The sequence below is a fragment of the Homo sapiens genome, chromosome 7, assembly GCF_000001405.40.
Source record: "Homo sapiens chromosome 7, GRCh38.p14 Primary Assembly".
NCBI lineage: Eukaryota > Metazoa > Chordata > Mammalia > Primates > Hominidae > Homo > Homo sapiens.
Window position 1 is genome coordinate 37,683,385 of NC_000007.14, and position 24,096 is coordinate 37,707,480.

The following is a 24,096-nucleotide window of genomic DNA, read 5'->3' on the forward strand; positions in this document are numbered from 1 at the left end:
AAAAGTGGGAGCCCTAAGTTACCAGTGAGGTATAGAGCAACTCTGGAAATTTTCTCCTTACTGAAAGGAAATATTACACATATTCCTTCACCAGAAGAACAATACACAGTTTACCTTCCCTTTTTGTTTTTGATAATACCACTTTGTTCCCCATTCTCTACAAAATTTAGTTTGAAGAACATTTTAAAAACTTGATTCATCGTAGTCATCAATCCTTCATAAATATTTCTTGACAATTGGCCTCTCTGTAGTTTGCAACCTGGACTACTCATGTTTAAGAGCTTGGTTTTTCAAGACTATTGTGTTTCAAATGGTTTTGAGGTTTTATGGTCTGTTGACATTCTGAGGAACTTAGAACACATTCACTTCCTTTTGCTTGGTGAGCTGTCCAGAGCCTTTGCAAATGCATGCAGAGCATGGAAATGACCCAGCTGCCCTGCTGTTGAAACAGAATCCTATTTGGAAGGCAGACATGTGGCCCATCTCTGTAGCCATCACTGAGAAATCTGGATTTTCAAGGTAAGTGCAGATGACTTAGGTTTGGGGAGACATGAATGAAAGTGCTATAGAAATAAAGCACACTTAATTTGTTGGCATAGTCCTAATTCAGAATCTTCAAATGGTTCTGCTCTAAAAAGCAAGCTTATTCTCTGACCACAACTCCTCCTTTATAGAAAGAATTGTTCTATTCTTACTGCTTAGGATATGCTGCTCTGAAAGTAAAACCTAATATTTATGGGTAAATGTGAACAAAAATGATTTCAGAATCTCTCTGTCAAAAAACCAGCTAAACATATCATAGAATTTTTTAGAGCAGTTGGCACTATTGAATTTGTGTATAATTATTCAAATGCTTATCTTTTAAGTGATGTCTTAATTTCCTTTTGTTATGAAAATCCTTTAACTCTATTACTGCATTATTTTCAGATAGAGTTTGAAACTATTCAGGCAGCCCTAGTCAATAGAAGGAAACAATCTGTAAGCAATCAAGTACTTAGAAATTTCTAAAAGAAGTATATTCAAAATAACATGTGAAATAATGGTAATTATAATTCTTTCCATCCCACTTTTAAAGTACTACTTAACAGGAAGGATCTGAAAATAACTTCTTAAATAAGATAAATAAAAAGAACAACATCTGTTCAAATAATTTTACTTTAAGTAAAATACTTTCTATACCAGTATTTTCTACTTCCAAGAAGTAATATTTTTCAAATATGTGGAATGAAATATAATGCAAAGTTTTTAAACAATAAGTCAGTAATGCCTAACCTGAATATAGGCATTTAATTTTGTTTCTTTTACAAATTTGTTATATGACTTTTGATAGGTCACTTAATTCTCTGGACTTCAGCGTTCTACATAACTGCACAATTACTTATCTGAGAAATTACTTATTAAGTACTCCAGAATTACATGTCTTTGTTTTCTGTTTTATTGGGTTTAAATCAGTTAATTAGGATTTTAATCAGTCAATAGAAGTAATGGGAAGACCAATGGATGAGGAATCAGGTGGTGTGAATTCTAGTCCTCTGTTTTCTAGTAATTGGCTGCATAATTTGGGGGAATATTGTCTAAGGATTCCAGACCAGGGGTTGGCAAACTTTTTCTACAAAAGCCTTGATAGTAAATATTTTAGGCTTTGCAAGCCAAGAGGTAGAACTGAGGCTAATATATTGGTACTTACATAACCATTTAAAACTATAAAAACCATTCGTAGCTCACAGGCTGTATAAAAACAAGAAGTGAGCCAGCTTTGGCTTAGGTGACACAATTTTCCAACTATTCTTCTAGCAATGATTTTCAACAATTATAAAATGGAAGTTGTAGACTGGATAAGAGATGCTCAGCTAAGGGAGTTCCTGGATGGTCTTTAGATTGATACACCAATCCTCTGAAATTGCATGCAAAAATGTAAGTGTGTGTTTTTCTTTTCTTCCTTTTGTGCGTGTGTGTGTTTCTCTCCCTCCCTCCTTCCTTCCTGCCTGCCTGCCTGCCTGCCTGCCTGCCTTCCTGCCTTCTTCCCTCCCTCCCTCCCTCCATCTCTCTCTCTCTTTCTCTCTTTCTTTCTTCAGGGCCTTTCTCTCTGTTGCCCAGGCTGGAGTTTAGCGACTCAATCATGGCTCACTGACTGCAGCATCGACCTCCGGGGCTCAAGTGATCCTTTCATCTCAGCCTCCTCAGTAGCTGAGACTACAGGTACTTGCCACCACACCTGGCTAATTAATTAATTTTTTTTTTTAAATAGAGACAGGGTCTTGCTCATGTTGCCCAGGTTAGTCTCAAACTCCTGGGCACAAGTGATCCTCCTGCCTTGGCTTTTCAGAGTACTGGGATAACAAACATGAGCCACTGTGCCTGGCAGCACTTTTTTTTTTTTTTTTTTTTTTTTAAATAAGAAAAACACGGATTGATTTTCAAAGTGGTCCAAAATCCAATTGTAGTTAAGGACCACAGGTCTAGCTAATTTCTAAAAGTGCTTTCCAAATTTAAAATCAATGAGCCTGTGAAATGTTTACTGGTGTCTACTATGGGTAAGCCATTGTGCTAGCACTATAAGAGACGTAGCATGTTGTGACTAAAATAATGTGTTAAATATATTGTTAAATAATATGTTAAAAAATATATTTTTGGGACAGGGCCTCGCTCTGTCTCCAAGGCAGGAGTGCAGTGGCACAATCACAGCTCACTGAAGCCTTCACCTCCTGGAATCAAGTGGTCCTCTCACTTCAGCCTTCCGAATAGCTGGGAGTGCAGGTGTGAGCCACCCTGCCTGCCTTTTTTTTTTTTTTTTTTCTTTAGAGAGGGGGTCTCACTATGTTGCCAAGGCTGGTCTCAAATCCCTGGGCTCAAGCAGTCTTCCTGACTCAGACTCAGACTAAAAATATTTTAAAGAAGTTAGAATATGTGCAAGTCTGTGCTGTCTTTCAAAGTAATAACATTGAAAACAATTTTCAATTGATCAAAGATTTCTGAGACATTGCTTTGCAAAGTGTTTTCAAAGCTAGTTCATACGTTATACCAAAGTATTTTCCAAATTATGTTATTGTCCCATCTTATTTTGAATGACAATGTTATTATTCGTGACAGTCATAATCAAACTTAATCTAAGCATAGTCTGTTTCCTAAAAACATAATTTCCTTAAGGGCAGGAACTATGCCTTTGCTACCTTTATATTTTAGAACAGGGTTTGACCCATAATAAGTACCCAGCATCTTTGGAATGGTTATATGAGTGAATAAGTGAATGAAATGATGAAGGTATTATCATGGAGATTACGTACCATAGATAGTGAAGGCTTGGAACTCCAGATGGTCTAAAAGCAGTAGTTGCTAAGTCCAAAGATGGCTTCTCTTTTCAAAATTGGATGTAACTGTGATTTCAAAATAATTGGCCAACTCAATATTGCAGTTCCTGATGATTAAGTCACTTTTTAAAAAGAGTGAAATTTGTGGAATTTAATTAACATAGGAGAGAGAAATACTTTTTACAAGGTTGCTAGTAACCTACTCTCTGGGATGGCGTGAGTGGAGAGTGAAATTTTGTTAATGAAAAGCATTGCCATCAGCATCTGAGCCCCTCGTGTCCTGAGACTGGGTAGAAGATAGTATCAGCTGGAACATCATGCATAACTGGTAGCTTTTCTGGGAAATCCAAAAGTCAAGTCTGGTAGAATTTAGGGCACCACTCTGCTCCCTGATAAAGAAGTTCAGACTGAGCTCCACTGCCTGCCCAATTGATGATGTCAGTCGGAGCACTGTTTCCTGGGAATTTCCCACAGCTACCCAGGGCAGGGGAATAACTTGTGATCAATCAAATTGTAGCTCTGTTCTCACTCCAGGAACAATTCCACTAAAGGAAATCCAATCTATAATATCTAGTATATGATTCATTCACTTCTTAGGGAAATTTAAGATTTAAAATGTTGAGAAATGGTAATGAAAAACCTGAGTAGCTTTGTATATAGTTGGTGTCATGCCTGAGACATCCTTATTCAAAAAAGTGCCTCTCACCTCTACTCTTGTCATCCTCTCATCTCAGAAGCTGTTAGGAAATAGAAATATACTATTTGCTTTGGGATACAATTATACAGTGAGCCTGTGCAGTATCACTCTATATTAAATAGCACCATTTTCTTCACACATTTAGCAGTTCTACTGAGGACATATTCCCGGATCTCCTTAAGGATTGAGATAAGTCCCAAATATAATCCAAAGACCACATGCTTCATGAATGGGAGCTCGAATATGTCTTATGATCCAAGGTCTCACTTGGATGTGGCAGGAAGCTTAGTCCCCTCTCTGAGGATTTCTGAGACTCCCTGGGCAGTGCTTGCATGTTCTACAAATTCAAGACTGGTAGCACACACTCCTCTCGCTTCGACTGCTGTCCCAAGCTCCATTTTCAGATGACCCCTGCACTTCCCTGGAAGGCTTTACTCCAAAACGTGGTCAAGACCCCTTCCATTCCCTCTCAAACACAAGTAAACTTAAATCTGTGACAAAGCTATTTTTGGAGCAAACTTTTTCTTAAAGGACCAGATCATAAATATTTTAGATTTTGTGAGCCAAACAATCTCTGTTGCAACGATACAACTTACAATTGCAATGTGAATGCAACCACAGACGATGCATAAATAAATAAGCTTGGCTGTGATCAGATAAAAACTGTGTTTACAAAAACGAGTGGCCAGCCCATGGGATGTACTTTGCTGGCCCATGAACTATATTGAATGCTTCGTGTCAACTTTTAAAAACTACTATGTAGTAGGCTGGGCGCGGTGACTCACGCCTGTGATCCCAGCACTTTGGGAGGTGGGTGGATCACCTGAGGTCAGGAGTTCGAGACCAGCCTGGCCAATATGGTGAACCCCCGTCTCTACTAAAAATACAAAAATTGGCTGGGGCATGGTGGTACACGCCTGTAATCCCAGCTACTCAGGGGGCTGAGGCAGGAGAATCACTTAAACCCAGGAGGCAGAGGTTGCAGTGAGCCAAGATTGCACCATTCCACTTCAACCTGGGCAACAAGAGCAAAACTCCATTTGAGAAAATAAATAAATAAATAAATAAATAAAATTACAATGTAGTAAAAAGAGATATAAAACTGACAGTTAGAGAATGCCTTCCAGAGGTATCAGCACTTCCCTTCCTGGAGGTGTCCATCATTCATTTTAGCCCTGGCCTGAGGCCATGCTACTGAGACGCACTCATCCTTCCTGGCCAGAAGTCCTCTCTCCTCCTTGCCTTCACTTCCACAATTTCAGGTTCTTCTCCGCACAGGTTAAGCCCCAGCTAGGGATGTGAAAAACAAGTTCATGTCATAGTCATCTGACAAGAGGAAGGCCCATTGAATAGAAATGTGGTCCATGGAGGTCGGAAGCATCTCTGAAACTACCAGTAGCACTTACCTTCCATTAATACCACTAAAGGGCTTATCAAAATTTTCCTTTCTTGACTAAAGAGAGAGTCTGCCATAAAGACAATTCTTTTCCCCTTTCTTTTAAAAATTATTATTATGGTAAAGTATATAAAATTTACCATTTTAAATATTTTACCAGATAGCTTAGTGGCTTAAATACATTCAGTTTGTTGTGCAACCAGGACTACAACTCATTTCCAGAAGTTTTTCGTTATCCCAGACTAAAACTCTTTACTCATTAAACAGTTACTCCCCATTCTTTCCTTCTCTCAGGCCCCTGGTAATCTTATGAAGCTATGATGAAATTTATCAAATGCTTTTTCTGAATCTATTGAGATGATTACATGGCTTTTGTCTTTCATTCTATTGATGTGATATGTCAGATTTGTCGATTTGCATATGTCAAACTATCCTTCTATCCTTAGGATAAATCCCTTTTGGTCATGGTGAATAATCTTTTTAATGTGCTGCCAGATTCCATTTACTAGTATTTTGTTGAGGATTTTTGCATCTGTGCTCATCAGGGATATAGGCCTATAATTTTCTTTTTTGGTTGTATCCTTGTCTGGTTTTGGAAACAGGTTAATGCTGGCCTTGTAGAATGAGCTTAAAAGACTTTCCTTCTCTTCAATTTTATGGAAGAGTTTGAAAAGAAATAGTATTAGTTATTTTCTGAATGTTTGGTAGGGTTCAGCAGCAAAGTCATGAGGTCTTGGGCTTTTCTTTGATGGGAGACTTTTTTAAAATTATGGATTCAGTTTTATTATTAATAATTGGTCTATTCAGAGTTTTTGTTTCTTCTTGAGTCAGTCTTGGTAGGGTGTATGTGTCCATGAATTTATCCATTTTTGCTAGGTTTTCCAACTTGTTGGTGTACAGTTGTTCATGGTAGTCTTCAGTGATCCTTTTTTTTTAAAATTTCTGTGCTATTAATTGTACAGTCTCTTTTCATTTCTGATTTTATTTATTTGGGTATTTTCTCTTTTATTCTTGGTTAGTTTAGATAATCATTTGTCAATTTCATTTATATTTTCAAACAGTTAAGTTTTTGTTTCATTTCTCTTGTTATTTTTTTTCAGTTTCAATTTCATTTATTTCTGCTCCGATCGTTATTATTTCTTTCCTTCTTCTAATTTGGGGTTTGTTTTGTTTTTGTTTTTCTAGTCCCTAGAGATACATTGTTTATTTGAAATCTTTCTACTTTTTCGATGTAGGCATTTATTTTTACAAACATCTCTCTTAATACTGCTTTTGCTGTGCTCCATAAATTTTGGAATTTTAGGTTTCTATTTTCATTTATTTCAAGAAATTTTAAGATATCCTTCTTAATTTCTTCATGACCAATTGGTCATTCAGGAGCATGTTTTTTTGTTTGTTTGTTTTTGTTTTTGTTTTTAATTTCCATGCATTTTTACGGTTTTGAACATTTCTCTTGTAATATACTTTGGATGTCCCCTCCGAATCTCATGTTAAGATGTAATTCCCGGCGTTAGAGGTGAGACCTGGTGGGAGGTGTTTGGGTCGTGGGAGCAGATCCCTCACGGCTTGGTGCTGTCCTCCTGATAGCGAGAGGGTTTTCGCAAGATCCACTCATTTAAGTGTGTAGCACTTCCCCTGTCCTTTCCCCTTTCACAGTGCGACGTGCCTGCTCTTGCTTTGCCTTCCACAGTGAGTAAAATCTTCCTGAGGTCTCCCCAGAAGCAGATACTGGCACTATGCTTACTGTAGAGCCTGCAGAGCCATGAGCCAAATAAACCTCTTTTCTTATAAATTACCCAGTCTCCGATATTTTTTATAGCAATACAAGAGCAACCTAATACACTCTTGTTATTCATTTCTAGATTATTTCATCGTGGTAAGAAAAGATATTTGATATTATTTCAATTCTTTTAAATGTGTTGAGGATTGTTTTGTGGCCTAACATGTAACCTATCCTGAAGAATGTTTCATGTGTTGATGAAAAAAAAAAAAGTGTATTCTGCAGCCGCTAGATGAAATGTTCTGTAAATATCAGTTAGGTATATTTCATCCAAAGTGCAGCTTAAATCCAATATTTCTTTGTTTATTTTCGCTCTATATCATTTGGCCATGCTGAGAACAAAGTGTTGAAGTCTCCTGTGTTACTGTATTGTAGTCTATCTCTCCCTTTAGATTCAATTACATTTGTTTTATGTATCTATGTGCTCTGGTGTTGGGTCATATATATTTGCAATTGGTGTGTTCTCTTTCTGAATTGATCCTTTTTATCATTGTATGATGACCTTCTTTGTATCTTTTTAGAATTTTGATTAAAATCTCTTTTATCTGTATAAGTATAGTTACTCCTGCTCACGTTTGGTTTCTGTTTACATGGAATATCTTTTTTCATCTCTTCACTTCTAGTCTATCTGTATTATTACAGGTGAAGTAAGTTTATTGTGAACAGCATATAGTTGGGTCCTTTTTTTTTTTTTTTTTTAACCTAGTTACCCAGTCTATATCCTTTTTTTTTTTTTTTTTTTTTTTTGAGACAGAGTCTCGCTCTGCTGCCCAGGCTGGAGTGCAGTGGCGCCATCTTGGCTCACTGCAACCTCTGCCTCCCGGGTTCAAGTCAGTCTATATCTTTTAAGTGGAGAATTTAATCCATTTACATTCAAGGTTATTATTTATAGGTGAAGACTTACTCCTGTTATTTTGTTAATTGTTTTATTGTAGTTTTGTATGTTCTTTGTTCTTTTTTCCTCTCTTATTGTTTAGTATTGTGGTTTGATGATTTTCTGTAGTATAAAGTTTGATTATTTTCTGTTTCTCCTTTGTGTATCTGCTGTACAAGTTAGTTTTATGCTTTTGCATGTTTTCGTGATGATTGTCGTTTTGCTTTAGATGTAGGACTCCCTTGAGCATTTTTTGGTAAGGCTGGTGAGTGGTAGTAAATTCTCTTAGTTTTTCTTTGTCTGGGAAAGATGTTTTTATCTCCATTTCTGAAAGATAGCTTTTCTGGGTGTAGTCTTGAGTGGAGTTTTTTCCCCCCCTTTAACACTTTGAATATGTCATCCCATTCTCTCCTGGCCTGTTAGATTTCTCTTAAGAAATGTGTTGTTAATCTAACGGGGATTCCTTTAGAGTGACTTTATACTTTTTATTGCTGTTTTAAGAATTCTCGCTGTCTTTGACTTCTTTTTTTTGTGTGGGCTGAATTGCATGCTGTTTTTCTTTCTTTTTTTATTACACTTTAAGTTCTGTGATACATGTGCAGAACATGCAAGTTTGTTACATAGATATGCATGTGCCATGGTGGTTTGCTGCACCCATTGACCTGTTATCTATATTAGGTATTTCTCCTAACGCTATCCCTCCCCTAGCTCCCCATCCCCCAACAGCCCCCAGTGTGTGATGTTCCCCTCCCTGTGTCCATGTGTTCTCATTGTTCAACTCCCACTTATGAGTGAGAACATGCAGTGTTTGGTTTTCTGTTCCTCTGTTAGTTTGCTGAGAATGATGGTTTCAAGCTTCATCCATATCCCTGCAAAAAACATGAACGCATCCTTTTTTATGGCTGCATAGTATTCCATGGTGTATATGTGCCACATTTTCTTTATCCAGTCTATCATTTATGGGCATTTGGGTTGGATCCAAGTCTTTGCTATTGTGAATAGTGCAGCAATAAACATACATGTACATGTGTCTTTATAGTAGAATGATTTATAATCCTTTGGGTATATACCCAGTAATGAGATTGCTGGGTCAAATGGCATTTCTGGTTCTAGATCCTTGAGGAATCACCACACCTGTCTTCCACAATGGTTGAAATAATTTACACTCCTACCAACAGTGTAAAAGCATACGTATTTCTCCATATCCTCTCCAGCATCTGTTGTTTCCTGGCTTTTTAATGATACTATTCTAACTGGCGTGGGATGGTATCTCATTGTGGTTTTGATTTGCATTTCTCTAATGACCAGTGATGATGAGCTTTTTTTCATATGTTTGATGGCCACATAAATGTCTTCTTTTGAGAAGTCTTTGTTCATATCCTTTGCCCACTTTTTGATGGGGTTGTTTGTTTTTTCTTGTAAATTTGTTTGAGTTCCTTGTAAATTCTGGATATAAGCCCTTTGTCAGATGGATAGATTGCAAAAATTTTCTCCCATTCTGAAGGTTGTCTTTTCACTCTGATGACAGTTGTTTTATTTTTTTGCTGCGCAGAAGCTCTTTAGTTTAATTAGATCCTATTTTTCAATTTTGGTTTTTGTTGCCATTGCTTTTGGTGTTTTAGTCATGAAGCCTTTGCCCATGCCTATGTCCTGAATAGTATTGCCTAGGTTTTCTTCTAGGGTTTTTATGGTTTTAGGCTTTATATTTAAGTCTTTAACCATCTTGAGTTAATTTTTGTATAAGGTGTAAGGAAGGGGTCCAGTTTCAGTTTTCTGCATATGGCTAGCCAGTTTTCCCAACACCACTTATTAAATAGGGAATCCTTTCCTCATTGTTTGTTTTTGTTAGGTTTGTCAAAGATCAGATGATTGTAGATATGCGGCATTATTTCTGAGGCCTCTGTTCTGTTCCATTGGTCTATATGTCTGTTTTGGTACCAGTATCATGCTGTTTTGGTTACTGTAGCCTTGTAGTATAGTTTGAAGTCAGGTAGCATGATGCCTCCAGCTTTGTACTTTTTGCTTAGGATTGTCTTGGTTATATGGGCTTGAGGAGTCACATACGGCTGTGTTTCTGTAAACTGAACCAATAGGCCTCAGTGGCAACTTGGGACAAAGGGGATGAAGCACCTTGTAGTGGTGAGTCTAGACCCTGGGATGGTGGGGCTTAGCAGCATCCCAGACTTGTGAGAGCAGGTACAGTGGCAGCAAGTACCCCAGAATGGTGGGGCACAGCTGTTGGGGCCCTGGGGGAGCATGAAGCAGCACAACAATGACTCTACTCCCTGGGAAGAGGGGTATCTCAGTAGTTCAGACTCTAGGGGGCTAGTCCAACTCCAGGGAAGCAGAATACTGGAGTTGTTTTGCCTGTAAATGTGGGGTGTCTCAGCTCAGCCACTGCTGTTTCCCTTGGATGTAGGGTGTCATGTCAGTTCAGCCTTAGATGTGCAGCTTCTTAGCTTGAAGTCTGTAAAGACAAAGTTCCCAAGGGGCAATGAGCCACTTCAGCCAGTCCTGGAAGGCATGACTAGTCTGGATGACCCGGGCACCATTTCCTTGGGATATAGGGCACTGTTTCGGCTTAGGTGCTGCAGGGTATGACCACTTCAGACAGTCAAGGCACCATTTCCTGGGAGGCAGGTTGTTGCTTCAACTTAGACTTTGGTGAGGTATGACTGCTTTGGGCAGCCAAGGAACTGTTTCCCTGGGATGTCAGGCATAGCTTCAGCTCTGAAACCTGTGTCAGGGCACAGTAGTAACTGGAAGGGATGAGAAGCAGTGTGCAACTTCAGTATTGGTCCTGTGGGACAGGTGCAGCAGCAAGTGGGAGGGGCTTTTGGAGCAGCTCTGCCGGGGCACTGTTTACTTGGGAGGCAATGCACAGCCTTGGCTTAGGCCCCTCAGGGCAGGGTGCAGCAGCAACTGGGAGAAGTATATGAAGCAACTTCACCAAGGCACCATTTCCCCAGGAAAGGTTGTGCAACTTGAGCTCAGGCCCCAAGGGGCAGGGCGCAGCAACAACTGGAGAGGTAGATGGAGCTGTTCTGCTGAAGAACTGTTTTCCTAGCAGGGAGCGTGCAGCTGCAGGTCAGACCCTGTCTTAGTCCATTTGTGTTGCAATGAAGGAATATTGAGGCTGGGTAGTTTATAAAGAAGATTGGTTTATTTAGCTCATGGTTCTGCAGCCTGTACAAGAAACATGGCAGGTGTGCAGATCACATGGCAAGAGAGGAAGCAAGAGAGATGGGGAAAGTGCCAGGCTCTTTTTAACAACCAGCTCTCAGGGAAATTCTCACAGGAATTAATAGAGCAAGAATTCACTTATTACCATGAGGAGAGCACCAAGCCATTCATGAGGGATCCACCCCCATGACCTTAGCACCTCCTGTTTGGCCTGGATTCCAACATTGTGGATCAAATTTCAACATTAGGCTTGGAGGGTCAAATATCCAAACTACAGCTCTATCCTAAGGCTAGAGCTCAGTGACTGGGAAGGGTAGATAAAGGAATTCCACTAAGGCACCATTTTCCCAGCAGGCAGTGTACAGCCTCAGCTTAGGGCCCTGAAGGCAGGGCACAGCCACGACTGGGAGATGTATATGGAGCTGTTCTGCCAAAGCAAGGTTTCCCTAGGAGGGATTGCACAGCTTCAGCTTTAGCTCCAGGCAAGGGGGCAGATGGAGGAGCAGGTAGAGTGGTTCCACTGCTGCTTGGTCTCCAGGGAAGGGTGTAACAGCTGCTCACAGCTCAACTTGGGGATTTCAGGCCACAGAATGGGGGTGGTTCTGTGGCAGCTTAACTTCAGGGATGAAGAGGCACCCATAGCTCCATGCCCCTGGAGCAAGACACACTCCAACATAGTTCCAGTTCCAAAATGGCATAACACAGTAGCCATGCAGGCCACTGGGGGTGGGACACTGTGTCCACTCCTCTGCTAAGAGCACAGCTGTGTGGACTCCAGGCAGCTCCCTCAGCTCAACTTAATGCCTGTGAGGACTGTAGAGACCCACTGGCAAGGTCTGTAGATGTCCAAAGTGTGGATGATGTTGGCTAGGGTTCTCTTGCTCACCTTTCTGACAATGGGAGAAATTCCTCCTGGCTCCCAGCTGATCCTGGGTGGGGGATGGGATGTAGGAGTCCTTGTGTTTCCTTCCGTTCTCTATGTGGGTATCCTAAGTTTCCGTGTTCACTCAGGTTTCTATTACTTCTTTTAGGAACTCCGCCACTCTGCTTTAGCCTTTTTTATTAAAATGTAGTTATTTATTCATTGTTTTGTCTGTCTTTGTGGTGAGGACATGTGCTAGGGGCTTCTAGTCAGCCATCTTTCTGTCACTCAGCTATACTTTCTCTTTAAACACTTATGTAGTGTTTGAATTTAAAAATGTATATTGACAAGCCAACATGCCGTGTTGTCACTGTGTGGCGGTGGAGGTTATCCCCTGATTATCTCTATTCTACTTTCAGTCTCTATAAATTTGACAATTTTAGGTCCCTTGTATAAATGAAATTACATAATATTTGTTCTTTTCCTTAAAGATAAATTCTTGCATCTGTTCTTGGAATCACATGAAAAAATAAGTTACCCATATACCTTGGCCTCCAGCCACCTCTGGTTTGGAAGTACAGACAATTCCCCATATAAACAATGGTTGACTTATAAGTTTGCAACTTTATAATAGTGTGAAAGCAATACTCAGTAGAAAACAGACTCTGAATCTTGAGTTTTGCTTAAAAATCATTTATAATAACGTTATTATAAAATAGCTTTGTGTTAGATGATTTTGCCCAACTGTAGGTTAATGGATGTCTTCTAAGCATATTTAAAGTAGTTGAGGCTAAGCTATGATGTTTGGTAGGTGAGGTATGTTAAATACACTTTCAATTTAATGGTATTTTCAACTTACGATGAGTTTTTAGAGACAAAACCCCTTTGAAAATTGAGGAGCATCCATATTGGAATCTTGTCTAAGAATACCCTGCTATGTGTTTTTCATGCATTACCGCCCACTGTCCTCCACCTGTTGCTCCTGCAAACATATATTGTCAATTCCCTTCTTTGGAATGTTATGCTCTATGCCTGGCATTCAACCACCTCATTTTCCTCAGCGCGACTTGTTATTCAGCCCAGCACAAGGACCACTGATGTGCACATATGGAATTGTTCTCATTTCTCTGTGTCATCTAGTATAATGGCACTCATATAGCACATCTATGCTGCCTTACAAAGATAATTTTAGTTTAGGTTTAATCTTATTATTTGGTTGTAATCTCCTTGTAGAACAGGATCCAGTCTTTATGCTATGTGATGGCCTTGCTTAAAATTTTGGCATGAGATGCAATAATGTTTTAAAAAGTTAAACAATCGTCACATTAATTTGATGCCTACTCTCTCTCTCCTCTCCCCAGTCACCCTTCATACTCATTTCAGATGCAGTAAATTTGACACAAACATATATAGGTTTTCTTAGTTGCGTTTTCTGGAAAAAATTTTAATAGTAAAATAGAAATGATTTTACCTAATTTATCTTTATAATACCATAGATAGATAGAGAGTGAGAGAGACAGAGAGATTCAAAGATATTTTTATAACCCATGCATTCCAGGAGACTATAATTAGTTAGAAGGACACAATTTATATATGTAAAACTAATGCCAAGATCAGAAGACTTTCTGAAAATCTATACTTGTAAAATGCTTTATGATTTATAAAGAGGAGGTAGAAGTAATAATTCTTATTTTACTGTTTTTTTTTCCCAGATACTTAATTACGAGAAATTACAAGTTAAGCGTCAAATTTTCTTCACAGGAACAGATCTAAAACAGGCCAATTCGGAGACATTTGCAGAAAAACAGAGTGATTAGATAATCTTTGTTAGCATAAATGGAAAAAGAACATTGAGTAAATATCATTAACCAAATGACTGAGTGGGTAGTTAGTTTTGTAGCTAGTTTTCTAGAATATGTCCTAATACAATTAAAGTTTATTTTAAAAACTTTAAAGCCTTATAATACAAATGGAAAAATCAAGGCTCAAGGTCACCTAGCCAGTCAGGAGAGTGAATTTTGACTTCCAGCTCTAAGTGTGTCTCAGCAGCCTCCATGCTCAGGCATGAGTTACGGATGTGGACCCTGAATGCTGTGGTGGTTTAGGAAGGAGGGAGATCAGTGAAGGTGGCGAGATCAGAAGGTTGACTCTTCACTGAGTCTCAATGTACAAATGGCATTTGGATAAACAACAAGAAAATTGACACTCAGGCACATTAAGGCAGTGATTCTCAAAGTGGGTTTGTTTCAGAATCACCTGAACCACTTATCAGCACCAGTCTCTCCACAAATTCTAATCCAGTGGTCTGAGAAGAGGCTCTGGGCACGAGGGATTTGATTAATCTCTTTAGGTGATTATGAAGGCTAGTGGTTAGGAGCCTGGTTATCTCTCATCTTGTATAGTAAGTGCCAATACCAAGGACATAACTAACAGCCGATCTGAGGGCTTAAGTTTAAGAGAAGGAGGAATAGAGAAGTTTCTAAGATATTCAGAGACACCCTGTGCATCCTGGCCCCCGTGCCTGGCAGCATGGGATACATACAGGAGGCTTATGCCACAGGGTGAAATATAGGCTAGTAAGTTTATTCCTTATTGCCTAGACTTTCTTTATAAAAACCGTGATGATTCTCTCTGCTATTGAGTACTTTAAAGAAACAAGCACACCTGCCATATTCCAGATGCATGGCCTTGGTCAGCTTCATCAAGCCTCAGCTTCTCATGTAAGTAAAAGGAAGAGAGTGATATCTAACTCAAATGAAAATTGTGAGGATCAAAAGTAATAATGTGTGAAAAATGCCTAGGACAGAGCATTATTCAAAATTATTACCCTTCTTCCCTCCTACCACCATGGTACAGTTTTTAGTTTTTATAACATCTATAAATAAAAACAAACTATCCTGTCTCACTATTCCATCAGTCAACGATTTTCAGCCAAAGGCCACGAGAACCTGTGTGTAGGGCTTATGACTCATTGCGGGGAGGGGAAACACACGCCATGGGGAATCTTGAGGCAACTTAGTAAGGGAGTATTAGAAACAGTCTGTGGAAGGATTTGGGTTTTGGTTGGGTAACTGGGGATTTGCTATGTATTGGATGCTGTCAGAAAGCAGGGACAACTTTATGATTAGGTAAAGAAATGTCAGTCACTAATTTTAACCAGAAAAGGGGGTATTTGGTATTTTATGGGTGGCCCAATGACCTTGTTTTTGTCTGTGCTTAGACAAAATTTTGCAATAGACTTGTTTTGTACCACTTTGTCATGGCCTTAGAGTGATCTTACTTGAGCTGCTCTCTTTTTTTAATTTCTCACATCTGAAATAAAAGAAAATGTAGGAGCAAAGCTGATATATATTTGAATTGTGAAAGGTGAAGAAGTGTTGAGACACTGAATATTTGTTGAGCAGTTTCTGTATCCTACGTCAAGATAAACTTTGATCCTTCTGAGAATGTCACAAGTATCTTATCTACATAAGGTGGGATTTGAAGCCAGATCTAGCTGACTTTTAACCACTGAAACTCCCAGTCTGGTGTGCTGTCACCTTATTGAGCTGTGCTTTGGGCACCATTAGAGCATGTGAATGAATTCCTGCCTGTCTGTTGAAATGGCCTGGCTTTGACTTTACTTATAATAGAAAACATACTTTGATCCAGAATCACGGATTGGCAGTTTTTTTTTCTATGAAGAATCAGATAGTAAATATTTGTGGTTCTGTGGGCCATAAAGTTTGTAGTAGGACTACCCAACTGGCAATGTAGTGAAAGAGTGGCCATAGATCATATGTAAACACATAGGTGGGCCAGGCATGGTGGCTCACACCTGTAATCCCAGCACTTTGGGAGGCCGAGGCGGGTGGATCACGAGGTCAGGAGATCAAGACCATCCTGGCTAACACGGTGAAACCCCATTTCTACTAAAAATACAAAAAATTAGCCGGGCGTGGTGGCGGGCGCCTGTAGTCCCACCTACTCGGGAGGCTGAGGCAGGAGAATGGTGTGAACCCAAGAGGCGGAGCTTGCAGTGAGCTGAGATCGTGCCACTGCACTCCAGCCTGGGCAACACAGCGAGACTCCGACTCAAAAAACAAAACAAAACAAATAGGTGTAGTTATGCTCCAGTAAAACTTTATTTATAAAATCAGGTGGCAGGTGGGATTGGGCCCTTTGGCTATAGTTTGCAAACTTTTTATCTAGATGATAAGTAAACAAGATCCCAAATGAACTTGGATTTTTAAAAATGTATTGAACACATTTAAAGTTGCTTTGAATAAGTAAATATGTGTAATAAATATAAATATGAGCAAATATAAATGTTGTGAGGTTTTGTTTTTTCAGGGGTTTATTTATTTACTTATTTTTAAAAATGCTTATTTCCAAACACGACAGAGAATCAGCATGGGGCCTCATGCCATTTGCTTTTTCCATCTGTATAGTGACAACTGGATCTTGTGAGGCCAAAGTGGTTATTGAATAGCTTTTCTGTCCTTCAGTCTATCAGGCACCATACTTGGCCCTTCCTTTTATTATTCCTTAAATGATAACTCTTGTTTGCTAAACTGAAGCTTGGAGAGGGTGAACAATTTGTCCTCAGTCATCCAGATATTGTGGTAGAGCTGGTGCTGAAACTCACACTTTTTCCACTATACCTTATCCCTCAATTTTTACAAATTATTCAATTGATGTTCTGGGCCAAAAGAAGATCTTGGATTATCTTCTGAATCATCGAACTAAAATGATGTGATCAGATTGAATTTAGTGCAGAGTGTATTTTGTTACATTTTACTTTTTTGAAAAATTAGGATTAGAGGCTAAATGTGGAAATCACAATTCAGTACCATAGTGTTGAAGGTCATTGCATATTGAGCCTCAGCATGCTAATTTCCTTTTTATAGATTCTTCTTTCGGCAAAGCATAGCATAATAACCCCACCTGAAAACCAAGATTATCTACCGCCACCATGTCAGATTGTCTCCACTGTAGCTTGATGGTAGAAAGATGAGGTAAGGCATATCATGAGAGAGATTCACTGTGAACCTCCTCTACCACATGCTATGCCACTGATCTCAGGCAAAAGGAATTTTCAACTAGAATCTCCTATTCTGTAAATGTGGAAAACAAATACAAACATATATAGGTAACTGGTACGGTACATTGTTATGATTTTATGTTTATAGTCAAATAACATACAAATGATATTTTTCATGCAAATTAATTAAAACAACCTCCTAGTCATACAATTTATACATTCATTTATACCATATACCCAGCTCCTACATATTTCTATGGATAAATATGGAAGATATCCCAACATTATCACAAGTATATTATATATGTAAGATGAAATTTGAAGCCAGATCTTCAAATCTTCAAATCTTTAATATCGCCACTAAACAGTATTCTCTTTTAGAAGAGTCCAACCTATATTTTTCTCCTACTACCAGCCTAGTAAACTCACCTGCCCCAGGAAATTGTGTCTGATTAACCTGAGCGTGGATGCTTTATTCTTCCAGTCTAGACAGGATTTGCATCCTTAGCTTATGCTGAAAAGTGATCATATACCCCATTGTACATGGAACTATGTCATTGTGGTAGGACATTATTATAGTGAACATACTCCTAGTAGTTCCATTTGCAAACTTGGGGACAATACATCTTATGATTCGTTGTGATTTGGCAAAGAAAAGTCTTCCAAGTGCTTCAAATGGAATATAGAAGAAAATGTATGATTATTTTTCCTAAGTCTCTTTCTTTCTCCAGTACCTCATTGTACATTCATTTACGAAAATAGTAATAACTATTAATAATAGGAAATATAAATCATAATAGAAAAATGGTCATCCATGTATTTCTGACTTTAATGTTTGAGTGGGTTGTTGGGAGAGGAATGGAGGGAGACTTGCTTCATGACCCAGGGAAAGGCCTTTGAGAAGCACCACTAGATCTCAGCTCAATTCTGTCTTCTGTTCTATTTCACTTCCTATGCAGACTTGCCAGATTTAGAAAATGAAAACATGGGACTCCCAGTAAAATTTGAATTTCAGATTAATGGTAAATATTTTTTTAGTACAACTATGTTCCAAATATTGCATGGGGTATTTATACAAAATAATCATTTGTTGTTTGCCTGAATTTCAAATTTAACTGGTTATCCTGCATTTTATCTGTCAACCCTACACACAAATCCTTAAGGCTCTGAGTTTTCATGTGGAGAGTTTTCTCATTCAGTGGAATTGTACTTAATTTTCTGCACAACCACACATAAGCCTTTAGAAAACTTGCTTAACCTGCAGCTAATAATTCATATCGTAGAGTTGTCATGAGGATTAAATGGAGAAAATGCAAATAAATCTAGGTTCAGGTTAGGATTCAGCAGCTGCTCGAAAATCATTAGGTAAATGTTTATTTTCTTTTTTCCTCTCAAACTTATTTCAATGCTTTCCTAACCTTTCCAGGAAGAATAAGGAGCTCCTCCCTTTTCCCTTTCAACAGGCTGTACTTCTTTCTGTTGCAGCAACCTACATGGTTTAAGGCTTGTTTTGTAATAATGACATAGACATACCAATTTCTTTCTTGTTTGGTTTGTGTTTTGTCAGACATAACTTTTTAAGATTTTTTTCTTTCAAAACTTTCCAAGTCATCTTATTTAAAACATGTCTAAATAATGGCCTTCTAAGTAATTTTTAGACATAAAGTCTGATTTTAAAAATCTCATTTTTAACTGTAGAGTTTGGTACACAAATTATATATTGATAAAATGTACATCTATTTCTGCCTTTTAGTTTTTTGTTTACTATTTGTCAATATTGTTTTAGGTTTTATTTTTCTCTCCTTTCTTCTTCCCTTTTCCCTCCTTTTCTCCCTTCCTCCCTTCTGTCTTTTTTTCCTTCCTTCCTTTCCTCCTTCCTTCATTTCTTTTTTAATCAAGTAAACTTTTTTCTTCTTCACTTCGTTTTTTTACCTTTACTAGTTCGGAAGATATACACTCTATTTTTACTCTTTTATTGCTGTCAAATACAAATTTTCACATTAGTTTAAGAAAACGGAAGTTAAATAATCTTACTTTCTTCTCAAACAATACACATATCTCGGAACACATAGACAGAAAGTCCCCCCAGGAGTGGGGAGGGATAGCACTGGGAGATATACCTAATGCTAGATGACGAGTTAGTGGGTGCAGCACACCAGCATGGCACATGTATACATATGTAACTAACCTGCACAATGTGCACATGTACCCTAAAACTTAAAGTATAATAAAAAATAAATAAATAAATAAATAAAAATAAAAAAATAAAAAAATAAAAAATTAAAACCCAGTTCAATTCAAAAAAAAAAATAAATAAAATAAAAATTAAAAAAAAAAGTCCCCCCAAAGTCATATAATATTGTTGCCTAGTATTTTAGTATTTTCTAGTATTTTAAACTGATAAATCAGATATTGTTGATTCATATAAAATATGTTTACCCACATATTTACAGTGTTTTGAGGTAACATTTCTTCCTTTATTATTTGATTTTCCTTCCTGTGTAACTTTCATTGTTTTTCAAATGTATCCTCCATATGTACCTTTAGTAAGGGTAAACCGGTAGTATTATCTTTCAATTTTCATTTGTATAAAAGGTCTTTATTTTGCTCACATTCTTCAAAGAATTTTACTGTGTACACATTGTAGGTTGATTATTATTTTCACTCATTTTTTTAAAGATAGTAGTCGACTGTCTTCCTGCTTCCACTGCCACTTTTAAGAAGCTGTTTGTCTGTGTAGAGGATTTTTTTTAGTGGTCTGTCTTCTCTAATTGGCTGCCTTTAATATCAGCTTCTTTTTCCTTAGTATTCTGTGGTTTCACTATGCTGTGTCTAGGTATGATTTCTTTTTATTCACCCTGCTTAAGAACTTTTGGCCTTACTGAATCTGATGATTGATGTTTTTCATCAATTCTGGAAATTTCTCAGCTATTATCTCTCAAAAAAACTGCCTTCACTTGGCTCTCTTTATCTTCTACTCTGGAACAAATTTAACCTCCATGTGACTTCCTTTTTGTAATTTTCATTTTTCTTACAGGAACATAGCATAGTTGCTAAGAAACAGAATTGAATCCAAACTCTGGGTTGAAATGATGCCTTTAACTCTTAGTTGGTATATAAATTCAAGAAAGTTTCTTAAGCTTTCTGTGCCTCAGTTCCCTCAGTTCTAAAATGGAGGGAGCAATAGTATCTACTTCATAGGATTGTTGTAAAGATTGCAAGATGAAATATGTGTAAAGTGCTAAGAAGCTTGCACAGTGTATTTGCTCTTATTTTCTTTTTGTGTTGCATTCTGAGCAATTTTTTTCATCTCTATTATATGGTTCACCAATTTTTATTTTCTCTTTCTGGTTCTATTAGTATATTTTTCACTTTCAAAAATACAACTTTCGAAAAGTAATTTTTGGTTATTTTTCAAAATGCCTATACATTTTAAAAAATCACTTACTTTTAATATATTACATTATTTTATATATGTACGTTTGCATTGGCATTTGCTATTGCTAGTTACCTTCTGCCAGATACCCAGAAACCCTGGGCCATTTCAAACTAAATTTTCAACATGGGATTTTTTGAGACCCACTGATAGTATAGATTCCTTTGTCCAAACTCTGACAAAGCTGTCTTATGGTTATGAATTTTTGTGGGGAGAATATATTTTTTCTTTTCCACCCAAAGCTAAAACTAGGACAAGTAAGTAGACTGTGTCTTTCTCTGGAGTTGATTTTTTTTTTTCCAAGTGTTTTCCTTTTCTTAGGTTGTAGCTTTGTGTGTGTGTTAGTCTGTTCTCATGCTGCTATGAAGAAACACCTGAGACTGGTTAATTTATAAAGGAAAGAAGTTTAATTAACTCACAGTTCCGCATGGCTGGGGAGGCCTCAGGAGACTTACAATCGTGGCAGAAGGCACCTCTTCACAGGGTGGCAGGAGAGAGAATGAGACCCAGTAGGGGAAATGCCAGATGCTTATAAAACCATCAGATCTTGTGAGAACTCACTCACTATCATGGGAACAGCATGGGGGAAACCACCCCCATGATTCAATTACCTCCCACTGAGTCCCTCCCATGACACATGGGGATTGTAGGGATTACAGTTCAAGATGAGATTTGAATGGGGACACAGCTAAATCATATCAGTGTGGTCGAGTCCAATCTGACTTTACACCTTATATGGGGCCCAGGCTTTGTCCCTGTTGTGCTGTGTATATGGGTCTGTTAACAGGAAAGATCTAAGTCTCCAGCATTGATGAATAACTTCAGAGCTGCCTCTGCTTTTATACTCATTTACTCGCTTACCTTTCTTGATTTATGTATTATGAAATTATTCTTTTCTACTAAGACTTTCTACTTATTTTTAACTCATCCATGAGTTTTTAAAAGATGTTTAAAAAATGATTTTTCGCATTTTAGGGTACTTTCCACTGTGAACCGAGGTCAACACTAACTGACTCTGCCTCAAATTCCACATCAGAGTTATTGCTATGTGCTCAGTGACAAGCCCAATACTTAGTATGCAATAGCCACTCTAATAATACTTATTAAATGAATAAATATATGTATAGTTGAATGTAACCCTGGTATTATTTAGATATTTCTCTAAAAACCCAAGGAAAGCTTACTTTGATATTGAAGACAATTAAAATATGTTAAATTTAAAACATTCTATTAAAGCTCTGAACAGAATGCAGGCCTCAATCTGCAACTTTAGGAATTTTTACTGACTTCAGATGGGCAGTCCACAATTCATGTGTTTGCTCTTTTGAAGAATATTCTGCCATAGAAAATAATACTCTAAATGTTGGTTTGATCACCAGACTAAATGGTAAAACCTATATCACTGATAAATTATTTACATCACAGCATAAATACATCTAGAGAATGTATTCTCCATTTATAATATTATTTCTATAACCTCAGTAGAGAAAGGAAATTCTGGGGACTGCGATATATCAGTTGGATTCTGGCTTATGCTAATTGTCTGAAGGAAAGTACATCTGCAAATCTAGGGTTTTTACATTGGAAATTGCTTGCTGGCCTCTTCTCAATATGTTGAGAAAACATATTGAGGGCAAGAAATAAAGTGAGTTCTCTGACTTGGTAAACCTGATTTGAAGTGACAATGAGATGGGGGTCTGAGGGAAAAGATACCAAAGCCTGAGGCTGAAAATTCAAATTTGCAATTAAGAAAATGGTTTTCATTCTGGGATGCCTATTGAAAATATTTGGAGAGCAATAAAAAATATAGACAGCTATACGGTATTCCCATAAGTGAGAACCACGTGTCACTATTTTGCAAAAGCTTCCCAGGCAATTCTATAGGGCAGCCACAGTTGATGCATCAATCCGGATGCCATGAGAAAACTGAAACCACTCCAGGTATTTGAAACAGGAAGGGGTCTAATGTAGGGAATCAGAGGCTGCGACAGCACTGAACGGGCTGAGAGAGGAAAGACCAGAAAAAGCTGCTGCTCCTGTTCCAGAAATCAGGAAATGCGAGAATCTTTGGAAACTACCACTAAAGAGGGCAGCTGCTTTGCTCCAATGAGGGTGGTTTAGAAGAAGCCTGAGACCCACTGGCGAACTACAGGTCTTCTTCCTCCAGAAGCTCTCGGGCCTGCATGGTGTTTACACACACACAAAAATAATGGCTTCTCTTCAGTTCTACCTGCAGGTGTCACAGTAACAGCTCTTATTATTCATGGCGTCTAACGCTAACCTTTGTGGCCAGGGACTCTACGGATGCATAGAAGGGACAAGATGGTGCAAGTCTGTCAATAGATTGAGAAATACTTGGAGAGCATTTAAAAACCAGATTGAGAATCACTGGTTTGGGATAGATGAACTTCCAAAATTCAGAGCACTGTTGTACTCTGTTGTTTTAGTGAACTTTAAACAGCAAAATATTTGTAAAAGCATTTATCCAGATTCAAGAAGAAGGCTTGAGGTTTAACACTCCCAGTGAAGAGCTTTTTTCCACCCTGCAGATTTCTGTGAGTACCAGGAGGAAGTGGGAATATCTTCCCTGACCCCCCACCATAGTTCCTTCCGCTCATCTGGAAGCGTTAAAGAATTCACAAATCAATGGCAAAAATAACTTTTAAGAGGATTCTAGCCAAACAAAGGCCACACTTGGCAGAGGCTCAGCTGAACCTAGTACTCAAATGGAGAGGTTTCATGATGGGTGTCATGAAAATGTGACTATACAAAAGGAAAATGTGTTGATACCAAAGTTCACATCCTTTGTTCTCCATATCATTGCCTCTCTATATGCAAGTGACAGCGTGAATTTTGTAGGACGCTTTTTCACATACATTTTCTTTTCATATAAATCGTAATGATTGACCAGAGACCCTTGCAAATAGCCTGGGCATGGACAAAGGAAAATAAGAACTGCCCCTTCTTGAGATGGTGGCTTTCCCTCTTCTCTCTCCTGAGAGCAACCACCCACCCAGCTGGTACGTTTTCTTCTCTTCCACGCCCACTGCCTCTTCCTCTTTCCCTTTCCCTCCAGAGCTTCCCTGACCCTCTTCTCCTCCCCTTTACCTCCTTCCTGTTAAAAAGTGTCTGGTGGTGGAGCCAGACAGAACTGTAGTCAGAGCCTTGTGGGATTTCTCAGGGGCAGGGTAACCTCAGGTCCTGAACCTCCCAGAACGTCTACATAATAATAGAATGTTTACTTCTTGCCAAGACAATTCTAAGTATTTTTAAATTTAGTGCTGAGAATGGTAATTTGCACATAGTTTGTACCTTACAAGTAGATACCGTTATTACCATTATCCCCATTTTATCAATGTAGGCTTAGAGAGGTCAAACAACTTGCTCAATTTCAGATAGCTAATATTCAAATCAAGTGGTATATATCCCACTGTACTCTGAGCTTCCCTGATTGTAACATTTTTATGACTCTAGTTGTGGCATTATAATTTATGAAGGTCATTGATGAACTACAGTGTCCAAATATCCTGGCCCTCT

General features: G+C 38.2%; 1 protein-coding gene across 12 annotated transcripts in view, besides 1 other annotated feature; it reads left to right on the plus strand.

Annotated features, from left to right (window-relative positions):
- The first annotated feature begins 381 nt into the window (after positions 1 to 381).
- Positions 382 to 24,096, plus strand: part of GPR141 (G protein-coupled receptor 141) — a 60,070-nt gene continuing 36,355 nt past the window's right edge. For 3 of the 12 annotated variants that reach the window (XM_011515374.4, XM_011515375.4, NM_001329994.2), the window contains exons 1-3: positions 382 to 519; positions 1,795 to 1,914; positions 2,076 to 2,199. In XM_011515374.4, coding sequence (XP_011513676.1) covers positions 1,867 to 1,914; positions 2,076 to 2,199 — 172 coding nt within the window. In that variant the 5' untranslated portion in view covers positions 382 to 519; positions 1,795 to 1,866. Of the gene's footprint in view, positions 520 to 1,794; positions 1,915 to 2,075; positions 2,200 to 7,045; positions 7,091 to 13,812; positions 14,821 to 24,096 lie in introns of those variants that run through there. The other 9 variants (XM_047420330.1, XM_017012163.3, XM_047420332.1 and 6 more) reach the window with 5 other exon arrangements.
- Positions 22,528 to 22,745: a silencer, noted in NCBI's record as "fragment chr7:37745514-37745731 (GRCh37/hg19 assembly coordinates)". NCBI's record gives its function as "represses an EF-1alpha promoter that drives an FKBP-Casp9 reporter gene in an ReSE screen in K562 erythroleukemia cells {active_cell/tissue: K562}" and the evidence as "EXISTENCE:reporter gene assay evidence [ECO:0000049][PMID:32094911]".